Genomic DNA, 13,108 nt, shown 5'->3' on the forward strand with positions numbered 1-13,108 from the left:
TTGACCACAGTGTTTTAAGGGCAGAAGGACAGTCCTGGGCCTGGGCTGTGGAGCTGGGGATGTGTTGGACAATTCCCAAGGGGTGGATAATAGCTCGGGGGGAGAGGCAGGACAAGTGAAGTTCCGTGATAAGAGGGGGAACTGAAGCTGGACCTTGAAAGGTTGGGGAGGACTTGTGGAGATGAGAGTGGGGAAAGGTAGGTGTCCCAGACAGAGGGAGCAGCATAAGATACTGTATGAGTTTCCTATTGCTGCTGTAACAAATTATTGCAAACTCAGTGGCTTAAAGCAACCCAGATTTACTATCTCACAGTTCCGGGGGTCGGAAGTCTGAAATGGATCTCACTGGGCTAAATCAAAGTGTCAACAGGCTGTGTCCCCTTATGGAAGCTCTAGAATTGAGTTCTTGCCTTTTCTAGCTTCTAGAGGTAGCCCACGTTCCCTGGCTCAAGGCTCCCTTCCATCTTCAAAGCCAGCAACAGCTGGTCGAGTGTTTCTCACATTGCATCACACTGACTGACCACTGTCACCTCCGTCTCTCATGTAAGGATCTGGTGATTACACTGGGACCCCTGCTGCATAATCCAGGACACCCTCCCCACTTCAAGATCCTTAATTTGACCACATCTGCAGAATCGCCTTTGCCATGTGAAGTAACACATTCACAGGCTCCTGGGACTAGGGAGTGGATATCTTGGGTGGGGGGCATTATTTCGTCTACCACACATGCCAAGTAAGGACAGTGTCCTTGCAAAATAGGAAAAGTGAATAGTCCATTTGCCTGGATTGGAAGGAATGTATGAGGAAAGATGTGGAACCAGAAGTATAGACTGGAGATTCAGGAAGGGAGAGAAACGTTTCCTCGATTCTCTTCAGAGGGCCTAAGTGGCCATGGACCACATCCTTTGCTCAGGCTGCTATTGTGATGCCAGGGCGGCAGCCATGGGGCAAGGTCAGCAGACACCTCCATGAGGGCCTACATGGTGGAAAGGCACAGGCTTGTAAACTCAGGATCCTGAGGAGCTCAACTCATTAAAAGCAGATTCTCATCTGGGAATCACCTTTTCTCTTCAGTGGCAGTAATAGAACTCTTTTTTCAAATTAAATTCATATGTAAACAGGTTAAAGCAGAGCCATTCAGGCTAATACAGGGCAAAGGGTCCCCAGAACCACCTAGTCCTCTGCCCATAGAGGCTCCTGGGGCACATCCCCAGGATGCGGGACACAGCAGGAAAACCTGTAGCAAAGTTCAGAAGGCTGGGTGGTGAACAAGGACTCAGAAGGTCTAGGAGGAAATGAATGTTCTAAAGTGTGAGGGAATATGGACATAGTTGCTCACAGCAAGGTTCACACATGGGTCTTAGTTTGAGCTCCCCCAGAAGCTGACCCTCAGATAAGGATATGAGTGCAAGTAGTTTATTTGGGAAGTGGAAGGAACATGGGTAGGTGAAGAAGAAAGATATTTGAGCAAGGGAAGGCAGCTAGTAAGTGTGTGCTGTCACACCAGCTACTGCAATATGGAACTGGTGCTTAAGCTTAAGAGGAAACTCTGGGAAACAGTGAAAGGTAACAAAGCTGGGGAATTCACACCTGCCAGTCATGGCTTAAGGACTGGCCCAGATGGTAATTCCCTGGTTCTTCCCACTCCTTCCCTCCTGCAGGCAACAAAGATGGCTGATGGCAGTCAGGCTGACACCATGCGCTGAAATAGCAAGGGTCTCTGATGGGATATGGGTGAACACTTTCAGCTGCCTCAGGATGGTCTTATCAATGAGTCTGGTGACAGCAGAAGTGTTCATTCTGCCTAATTCTCCATCACCACCCATCAGCGTCCAGGTTTATGGCGAGACCACCCTGCATCCTGCTCTGCAGTCCTCAGACCAACACCGACTGGGGGGACAGTTGTCATTTTTGGCTGCCTATTCCCCATGGCCCTCACTACAGCACTGAGTTTTTCTATCACAAAATGATTTCTCCGTGTAGGGAGAAAGAAGCCTTCTTAGAGTCTCTGTCTCTTGGTGATCTGAAATATCCATCTCCATGCGATCAAAAGGCATCCAAGTCTGGGCACAGAGAGAAGAAGCATTCCTAATTCCAGAAGTTCCTGAGAGAACAGGGCCAGCTTTCTGGCAGAACAGAGATGTGAACTCAATGTCCTTTGGGAAATTAGCTTTAGTTCTGTACCAAGAGCCTATAATTATACTGACCAGGCTAGGGTACTTGAAATGATGATTAAGGCATGAATGAAAAATAAAAGATCCCTTTGTTTTTATGCTCATTATGCCTCTTTTTGATGACTATGCAAAAAAAAAAAATGCCTTTCAAACAATTAGCTTAATTAGCAGATTGTATTTTCATTCCCAGCTCCAAGCCAAGTGCCCAGCAGTTGATCATAGCTGGGTAAGGATGCACTGGCCCTGCCTACCTTCCTCCTCCCACCCACCTCCATGTTCCAGAACATGGCATTTGGGGTTGATCTTTACCTTGGCCCATCTCCCAGCAGCCCTTGGGCTGAGTTCATTGCAGTCTGTGGGCCCAGCTCTGCCTGGACAGCCCTGGCTCCTCAAGACAGGAGTCTGTTTGAGGGAGGGAAGGAATAGGTGGAAACCAAGCTTCCTAGTCTGATAATGCAATCCAGTGTAATCTGGCCCCAGCCTACATCCCAGGTCCACACACCCTTCCTAGAAGCCATCCCCACTCTCTGGCTCCATGTCTCTGGTCTGCTGTCCCTTCTCCCACCCTACTTGTGCATCCCAGATTCTACCTGTGCCTCAGGGTGGCTTGCCTCCTCTATGAGGTCTTTCTTGTTTCTTTTAAGGCCTTTTGCCTGTACTTCTCCCATTATCCTCACCACTTTAAAATGGATTCAATTAAAAAGGCAATAGATGAGCTTATTCTTAATAGAAAACATTAAGAAATGAATAATTATCTAGAAAAAAGTAGGAACTCCTCCACCACTGCCTCCCTACTCCCCACCCCTTCCCCGAGGAAATCACTGGGAACAGTCGACCACACAATGAATGTTATGCAGTGCTTGCTTCTTTCGTTTAATAGAATACATCTTGGACATTTTCCATATCCAGGACTTACAGGTCAGCTTAACTCTTTTCAGTGGTTGCTGAACTGCCCCATCTGTTACCAGCCCACTATGGATGGTCAAGGGAATTTGTAACTAATGGAGTTAGAGTGCAGGTGTTTGGGAATGAATTTACTCCTTTTCCTCCTCCTCCTTTCTTCTTCTTCACCCTCCTCCTCTTCCTCCTTACCTTCCTCCTCTTGTTCCTCACACTCCTCCTCCTCCTTTTCTCCCTCCTCCTTCTCTCCCACCTCCTCCTTTTCATCCTTTATACAAATTAGAGGTCTTAAGTCCATTCCTAAAATGTCATTCTCACTCCTTTGCATTCTGACTTTCTTCTCACTCTAAAATATATATGCATACAAATATTCTAATTCTGAAATATTTTTAAAATATGGACAAGTGTAGAGAATCATATAAAACATCTACATGCACATTTAACAAGCAGTAATATTTTGAAATACAGGCATATCTCATTTTATTGAGCTTTGCTTTATTTTGCTTTTCAAATACTGTGTTTTTCACAAATTGAAGGTTTCCAGCAACTCTGTGCCAAGAAAGTCTATTGGTCTCATTTTTCCAACAGCATGTGCTCACTTTGTGTCTCTATGTCACATTTTGGTAATTCTCACAATATTTCAAACTTTTTATTATTATATGTGTTATGATGATTTATGATCAGTGATCTCTGAAGTTACTATTGTAATTGTTTAGGGGCACCATGAACCACACCCATAGAAGACAGTGAACTTAACAAATGTTGTCTGTGTTCTGACTGCTCCACCAACCAGCCATTCTCCAATCTTTCTCTCCTCTGGCCTCCCTATTCCCTGATTCACAACAATATTGAAATGAGACCAATTAATAACCCTACTATAGCTTGCAAGTGTTCAAATGAAAGGAAGAGTTGCACATCTCTCACTTTAAATAAAAAGCTAGAAATGATTAAGCTTAGTGAGGAAGGCATGTTCCTCCTCATCCTGAAATAGGCTGAAAGCTAGTCCCCTTATGTCAAATGGTTAACCAAGCTGTGAAAGCAAAGGAAAAATTATTGAAGAATATTATAAATGTTACTCCAGTAAACACATATTATAAGAAAGGGAAATAGCTTTATTGTTGATATGGGGAAAGTTTTAGTGGTATGGGTAGAAGATCAAACCAGCCACAATATTTCTTTAAGCCAAAACCTGATCCAGAGCAAGGCCATAACTCTCTTTGATTCTGTGAAGGCTGAGAGAGGTGAGGAAGCTGCAGAAGAAAACTTTGAAGTTAGCAGAGGTTGGTCCATACAGTTTGAGGAAAGAAGCCATCTTCATAACATAAAAGTGCAAGGTGAAGCAGCAAGTGCTGATGGAGAAGCTGCAGCAAGAGATCCAGAAGATCTAGCTAAGATCATTGATGAAGGCATCTACACTAAAGAACAGATTTTCAGTGTAGACCAAACAGCCTTATATTGGAAGAAGATGCCATCTAGGACATTCATAGCTGGAGAGGAGAAGTCAATGTCTGTCTTCAAAACTTCAAAAGACAGGTTGACTCTCTTGTTAAGAGCTAATGCAGCTGGTGTCTTTAAGTTGAAGCCAATGCTCATGACCATTCTGAAAATGCTAGGGGCCATCAGAATTATTCCAAATCTACTCTGCCTGTGCTCTATAAATGAACCAACAAAGCCTGACAGCACATCTGTTTGCAGCATGGTTTACTGAATATTTTAAACCAACTATTGAAACTACTGCTCAGAAAAAAAGAATTCCTGTCAAAATATTACTGCTCATTGACAATACACCTAGACACTCAAGAGCTCTGATGGAGATTTACAAGGAGATTAATGTTTTTTTCATACCTGCTAACACAACATCCATTCTGAAGCTCATGAAATAGTGAAATGAGTAATTTTGACTTTCAAATTCTATTATTTCAGAAATACATTTCATAAGGATATAGCTGCCATAAATAGTAATTCCTCTGATGGATTTGGGTAAAATAAATTGAAAACCTTCTGGAAAACATTCACCATTCTAGATGTCATTAAGAACTTTCACAATTTGGCCAGGCACGGTGGCTCAGGCCTGTACTCCCAGCAATTTTGGAGGCCAAGGCGGGCAGATCACCTGAGGTTGGGAATTTAAGATCAGACTGACTAACATGGAGAAACCCCATCTCTACTAAAAATACAAAATTAGCTGTTCATGGCGGTGCATGCCTGTAATCCCAGCTACTCAGGAGGCTGAAGCAGGAGAATTGCTTGAACCCGGGAAGCAGAGGTTGCGGTGAGCCGAGATCATGCCATTGCACTCCAGCCTGGGTGACAAGATTGAAACTCCGTCTCAAAAAAAAAAAAAAAAAATTCACGATTTAAGGGAGGAGGTCAAAATATCAACATTAGCAGGAGTTTGGAAGAAGTTGATTTTAGCTGTCAAGGATGACTTATAGAAGTTCAAGAATTCAGTGGAGGAAGTCACTGCAGGTGTGGCGGAAATAGCAAGAGAACTAGATTTAGAAGTGGAGCCTGAAGATGAGACTGAATTGCTGCATTCTCATGATCAAACTTGAGTGGATGAGGAGTTGCTTCTTGTGAATGAGCAAAGAAAGTGGTTTCTTGAGATGGAATCTACTCCTGGTGAAGATGCTGTGTACACTGTTGAAATGACAACGAAGGATTTAGAATATTACATATTCTTAGTTGATAAATCAGCAGCAGGGTTTGAGAGGATTGACTCCAATTTTGAAAGAAGTTCTGCTATGGTTAGAGGGCTATCAAACAACATTGTATGCTACAGAGAAATCTTTCGTGAAAGAGTCAATCAATGAGGCAAACTTCATTGTTGTCTTATATTAAGAAATTGCTACAGCCACCCCAACTTTTGGCAACCACCAACTGATCAGTCAGCAGCCATCAACATCAGGGCAACACCCTCCATTAGCAAAAAGATGACTTGCTGAAGGGTCAGATGATCATTAGCATTTTCTCAGCAATAAAGCATTTTTAAATTAAGCCATGTACATTTTTTAGACATACTGTCATTGTATACTTAATAAATTACAATATAGTGTAAATGTAACATTTACATGCATTGGGAAACCAAAAAATTTGTACAATTCATTTTGTTCTGACACCTGCAATATCTCCATGATGCCTGTATTTCTTCAAATACTAAAAAAAAGAAAAGAGAATGGAAACAAAAATCAGTTGCAAGTAAAGCTAAATTCTCTCCCTGTGCCTCATTTCTCTCCTCCTGACATTTTTGAAGTACTCACCATTCTAATGCTGTATATTTTTTTCATCCTTGTTTTCATAGTTTGCTACTATGGTTGGGGGGACAAAATATGAAGATATTTAAGAGCATGTATGGAGCATGGCACCAACCAGAGTGATAACCAACCATATACCACTCAGCTTACCCAGCATTGACCCCTGAATGTTAGTTCTGTTCATAAGTAGTCTTTCATTAACAATGCATTGTTTTGTGAGTCTTCAAGAGATATTAGCACACTCTATTTCCTTTTGCAACTTGTCTTTCACTCAACATTATGCTTGGAGATTGCTTCCTGTAAATACTGATAAGTCTAGCTCACTCTCGATAATATCATGCTTTCTTGATGGGGAGAGGAAGGAAGTTATGTCCAGGAACCTGGGTGTCATACAAACAGAGCCTGTCCTAACAGGGCCATAGCTGGGCCTTGAATCTCACACAAGTATATGAGATGCTTTTGTGAGGATTGGGCCAAAAAAGGCTGTCATGCCTATTGCTTCATTTACTTGCATAATTTGAGGTTTCATAAAATTTGGGAATGCCTATTGTGAGAAACAAACTCACTTGTCCAAATTTAAAGAATGGACTCAGAGACCCGGAGAACAGCGAAAGTGAGACTTTTAAGGACCATCTTGCAAGATCAGGTGTCTGATGGGCAGGCACACCCAGCACAGTCACAACAAACAATTTACCCCCTAGTGCACAGGTTCCTCCCCCAGTTCCTCATAGGCTGACTACTATGGGGTCACAATCTTCCCACACGTCACCTATCAGTTGCTGGGCTGGGGCTTAGGTGTTTTCTTTGGGGTTGTCTTGCTGCATTTTGTTGCAGCCCACAATGCGTTGCATTCCTAGTCAGCTCAGGGGCTCTTTAAGTATTTGACTTATGACTTAAGTAGCTGGGCAGGCTGATGAGAATAGACAAAGTGAGCTATCTTGCAGGCTAGTAAACTTTCATCTTAGACTAAACTTTTTTGGTTTGGGTGGGGGCAACTAACGGGGTCGGGGGTGGTGCAGGGAGGTGCGCGACAAGCAGGCATTGACTATCCAAGCAGGGGCCTAGTGTATCCTGTTTTTTTCTGTAGTTTGCTAACCTAAACCGATTCAAGGCACTTTGTCTTGGACCACTGTATACGTTATTTCCTTCACTATCAATATGTAAATGTTATATTTGCTGGGAGGAAAACAAAAAATTGGGAACAGCAGGACTAGGGAAGCATTTTGCTATTTTGTAAATGGACACAGGGTCCTCTCTTGAATATCTATTGACAGTCCTAAGAGAAGAAACACCATGTCCCAGTACAGGTGGGAAGGCTGGGATGGAGAAGGGAGGCCCTCTTGTGCTGCCTAGGTACCAATCCAATAGCACCAATAAGCAAAGGGCCCAAAAAGGAAGACCTGGGGAAATGAGAATGCCTTGTATTAATTAGTAGAGGGGGTCTGGATGCCAAAGAGAATGGGTTATAGAGTTAAAGGGTTGGAATCTGCGATCTCATTTGCCTAAGTTATCAGAGGGTAAGAAATTCAGGCAGAAAGCACAGGTCTAGTCCAGGGAAAACCTGTAAGCAGGAGAAGTCTGGATTTAGGGCCTCCCACAAGGATATCAATGCATCTTTTCCTCCCTGCCCCCTTTCCCACCATCAAAATCATTACTCAGGAAAGAGGCTGATATTAGTCATTTATACTCTCTACAAGTAAATCTCAGGGGTATTTGCATCCTTCTTCCTAAGTGTGGCATGAGATATTCTGTTCCTGCTGGATCAGGTCCCTGCACTGGGGCAAATAATGGCAGGCAAGAGAGTACACTTCCTGCAGAGGAGAACTTGTCGACATCTAACAAAGCTACAGACTCATTTACTCTTTAGCCAACCTAAGCAATCCCACTTCCAGAAATTCACCTTTAAGATACACGTCCACGGATACAAAGCAACATGTGCAGGAGGTTTTTTATAGTGACATTAGTTATAATAGCAAAAATTAGAAATAATCCAAATGTCCATCCACAGGGGATTTGATAGAGTGACCTACTTGTTCCAGTTTTAAAACTGGAAGTCCCGTGTGCAGAAAATTCCCTCAGTCTCAGACAAACTTTGTCCCATTCATCTTTAAGCATTTCTGGACCAACCAGACTTATGAGATTCCTCTTGTATTTCCCTGGAATCAGCTATTTCCCAAAAGAGCCATCATTCATTTGAGTGGGGAAGGATACTGTTTTATTTTTATTTTTTGAGATGGAGTCTCGCTCTGTTGCCCAGGCTGGAGTGCATGGCACGATCTCGGCTCACTGCAACCTCCACCTCCTGGGTTCAAGCAATTCTCCTGCCTCAGCTCCCTGAGTAACTGGGATTACAGGTGCCCACCACCACGCTCAGCTAATTTTTGTATTTTTAGTAGAGATGGGGTTTTGCCATGTTGGCGAGGCTGGTCTCAAACTCCTGGCTTCAAGTGATCTGCCCACCTTGGCTTCCCAAATTGCTGGGATTATAGCCGTGAGCCACCAGTGGCACCCGGTCAGTACTGTTATTAGAAGCTAAGATTTGGGGACTTGGTATACTGAGGTGTTATTGCTTCTAGGGCCTTTCAGTTGACAGAGAAAAAATAAAAATATACGTATTATATATAATATATACAATTATGAGTTTATATTTACTCCAATTCAAATGTAACATTTCAGGTTTTCATTAAATCTATTGTATTTTGTATATAAATCGCTTTTTTCTTACTCTAAAAATCTTTTGATTCTTAATACTATTAGAATATATTTACTTATTTTCTTTATTCTCTAATATACATAGATAGAATAGTTTCAGGAATTTACTTCTTTGCTTTAATCTTACAATATACTTAAAAATTTTCCAAAGTTAAAAACCACTATTACCAGTACTAATACAATTACAAAGTAACCTTAAATATTTATATGCAGTTTTTTTTTTACTCTTGGAATATTTTTCACAGAGGACTAGAACCAGAGAACTGTATCAGAGATGTCTGAATTTTTTTCTTTTCTCGTCATATCTGTGTTACTAATTTGGTACGCAATTAGGTTCCTTTAGCCAAGCCTGATATGTTTTCAATTTTCAAGTTTGTCTTTTCTTTCTTTTTGATTTAATTTATTTTGTGAATATGTAAAATTTGAATGCAAAGTCAAAATTATGTGAAAAGCCATATTCAGAGAAGTCTCATTTCCACTCGTATCCCCTCCTTCACTTTTCCCATTCCACCTCCCATGAGCAACAATTTTTATTAGTTTCTAGTTTATCTTTCCAGTGTTTCTTTTTGTAAAACTAAGCAAATGAATATGTGTATGTAACATATGTGTGTATATGTTCTTATTTCTCCACCTTTCTTTTACATATGGTAACATACGATATACACTATTCTGCAGCTTGATTTTTTCCATCTGACAACATGTATTGTAGTCACTCCATAGGAACACATGTAGGTCTTCCTCATTCTTTGTCACATCTTCATAGCAAACCAAGGGTGAAGATACAGTGGTGTCTTCTATGGCTCCCAGTGTTTACTTCTGAGAAGGGACTGAGAGAAAGGGAGGGTAGGAAGGACAGAAGAGAGGTGAAAGACTTCTATACTTCTATATTGTATTCTATATAATTATTATTTAATGTTTTCTAATAAAAAAATTAAGGTATTCCTCTTTTAAAGAAATAGACTTAGCCTGGGCAACATGGTGAAACCCCATCTCTTAAAAAAATTTTTTTTTTTTTAGCTGGGTGTGGTGGTGCACACCTGTTGTTCCAGCTATTTGTCAGCCTGAGTTGGGAGGGTGGATTGAGCCCAGGAGGTTGAAGCTGTAGTGAGCTGTGATCACGCCACTGCACTCCAGCCTGGTTAACTGAGTGAGACACTGTCTCTAAATAAATAAAATAAATAATAGACTTTATCTTTTTAGAGCAGGGTTTAGGTTCACAGCAAAATTGAGAAGGTACAGAGATTTCTCCTATACCCTTTGCCCCACAAATACACGACCTCTCCCACTATCAACCTCCCACACCAGAGTGGTGCAGTTATTACAAATGATGAACCTATACTGACACACCATTATCACCCAAGGTCCATAGTTTCTATTAGGGTTCCCTTTTGTTGTATTCCTTTTTTAATTAAAAGAATTTTAACTAATGAGGATCTTGGTGAGGTGTACATTAGGAACATGTCACAAGAGCCAGTTGGCACGCCCTCCCAGTGGCCAAATTTGAAACAGTTTGACAATGACTACAATTTATTATAAAACACTGAATAAACAGAGAACCATAAGAGAGGGGAAAAAAGAAAAAATATTAATTGCTGCCCTTGAAGATAACGAATATACCAAGTCCTTATTCTGAAAATTATAATTAAAAAACAAAAAAGACATCCATCCTGCTTATTTGTGTGTAGGAACATTAGTTCATCCTCAGTTAATTAGGGGAAGCTCTTCTTTACAGAAAAATGCCAGTTCATAAACAGAAGAAACAATAGATTTAGAAAGGCACCATCTGACAATCCCCAGTGTAATAACCAATTCGGGCAATTCATGGAGGTTATCTTAGTTCACTGAACTGCTATAACAAGGTACCATAGACTGGGTGCTTATAAACAACAGAAATGTATTATATTTTTCTCAGTTCTGGAGGCTGGGAAGCCCAAGATCAAGGCACTAGCTGATTTGGGGTCTCATGACGGCTTGCTTTCTGTTTCATAGATGGAACCTTCTAGCTGTGTCCTCACATGTTGGAAGGGGCAAGTCAGCTCTCTGGGGCCTCTTTTATAAGGGCACTAATCCCATTCACAAGGGCTCCACCCTCACGACCTAATCATCTCCCAAAGGCCCCACCTCCTAATACCATTACATTGGGAATTAGGTTTCAATTTATGAATTTTGGGGGGACATAAATATTCAGGCCATAGCAGATAATGAAAGGCTGATGGAGAATACATATCTACACTGCCAAAGTATCACCCCATAGATTACAAAGGGGAAATGTGCCTTTATAATGGAGAAATCTGGTAGTCACTAACTCAACTAAGTGATTCAACCTAGCATCCTTTACCATGGGAAAACCTAACACTACATATCTCCTGAAAGATGCAACATGAAGGAAACAGCATTACCCAGAATGCCAAAATTGTTTAACTGAGATCCAGTCAAGCTTTTGGACAAAATTTGAATCTAAAAGAAACCCAGGGAGGTAGAAGAACAAGTCAAGTGAACTGTGAAGAAGCAATTAAATTAATCTAGAATGTGAGACATTCTATAAAACAGCTGGCATGGTCTCTTTGAAAATAAATTCCATGGGAAAAAAAAGTAGATTATTCTACGATAAAATAAATAGACATAACCATTGTAATACATGAAACTTGGTTAAACTTCACTTATTTATTTTAAACAGCCATAAAACACATTTTTGGGGAACAGTTGGGGAAATTTAAATTTGGGTCTAATGTTGGGTGACATTAGGGATTAATGTTAATTATCTTAGGAGTCACAAAGACATTGTGTTTATGTAGAAAAATATCCTTATTCTAAGGAGATGCATGCTGAAATAATTAGGGGTGAAGTATCGTGATAGCTGCAATCTATTTTCAGCAAAAATAAAATATATACACACAGAGATAAATCAAATATAGACAGTGTTAACAATTGTTCAATCTAGTTGGTGGGTATAGGAGTGTTCACAGTATTATTCTTTCAACTTTGCTGTGTATTTGAAATTTCCTTATAATAAAATGTTGGAAAATGCAGTTGTAAAAATCAAGCATCAATCCCACATTCTCTGTTGAAACTTTGTTTCAGAGGAACCAGATAGCCCAAGTTGCTGAAGGAAAGCTCTATGTCACAGAAGAATTGAGGTAACAGATGTAGAAGGAAGGGCGGACAGAAAAAGCATCATTTCACCAGCACTATGAAAATGGTTGATTCAAGCAAGAAGTATTTATTATTACAATCATCAGATGAATGGTTGATGGGACTAAGCATTCGTATGGTGCCATAGGAACATTACACGGATCATCTCTAGTGAAGGACTCAGACCATCATCACCCTTTCCCAACAGTGAAATTTAGGCTCAGTCAGGAAGGTATAGGAAAACAGCTCCACTGTGATGCGGTGACCTGGCATGACCCACACAGGCAAAGGCTTGAGCCACAGCTAATCTGAGTCTTGGTAGAACACCTTGTGACCCTCCCAGAACACAAGACGGTAAGAGGCAAGAAAAGAGCGGTTGTGGGGCCATCTCCCACCTACCTCCCTATCTCCCCTGGGAGGCAGTCATGGGAGAGCTTCTCATGGCCTCCCCGGCACTGATGAGGTATGGGGCTTTCTGCTCCACCCCTGTTGCTCCCTGCCTCAGAACATTGCTGCAGAATATAACTCTACTTAGCTACAGTCTACATTTGGCTCCTCAGCAATGGGGTGTCCTACAACCTGCATTGCAATTATCTGGCCCCTTTTGTTTCAGTGTCACCTTTTCTTTTCCTTTTTCTTTTCTTTTTTTTTTTTTTTTTTCAGGCGGAGTCTTGCTCTTGTCGCCCAGGCTGGAGTGCAGTGGCACGATCTTGGCTCACTGCAACCTCTGCCTCCTGGGTTCAAGTGATTCTCCTGCTTCAGCCTCCCAAGTAGCTGGGATTACAGGCACTCGCCACCTCGCCCAGCTAATTTTTTTGTATTTTTAGTAGAGACGGGGTTTCACCATGTTAGCCAGGCTGGTCTCAAACTCCTGACCTCAGGTGATCTGCCCGCCTCGGTCTCCCAAAGTGCTGGGATTACAGGCATGAGCCACTG

At 41.6% G+C, this 13,108-nt stretch overlaps 1 protein-coding gene across 1 annotated transcript in view; it reads right to left on the reverse strand.

The window, feature by feature from the left end:
• Nucleotides 1-9,236: 9,236 nt before the first annotated feature.
• Nucleotides 9,237-13,108, reverse strand: part of LYZL4 (lysozyme like 4) — a 49,847-nt gene continuing 45,975 nt past the window's right edge. The window contains exon 5 of the mRNA XM_011533355.4: nucleotides 9,237-9,867. Within this exon, the coding sequence (XP_011531657.1) occupies nucleotides 9,798-9,867 (70 nt within the window). The 3' untranslated portion in view covers nucleotides 9,237-9,797. The remainder of the gene's footprint in view (nucleotides 9,868-13,108) is intronic.

The sequence above is a fragment of the Homo sapiens genome, chromosome 3 (genome assembly GCF_000001405.40).
Source record: "Homo sapiens chromosome 3, GRCh38.p14 Primary Assembly".
NCBI classification, from domain to species: Eukaryota; Metazoa; Chordata; class Mammalia; order Primates; family Hominidae; genus Homo; species Homo sapiens.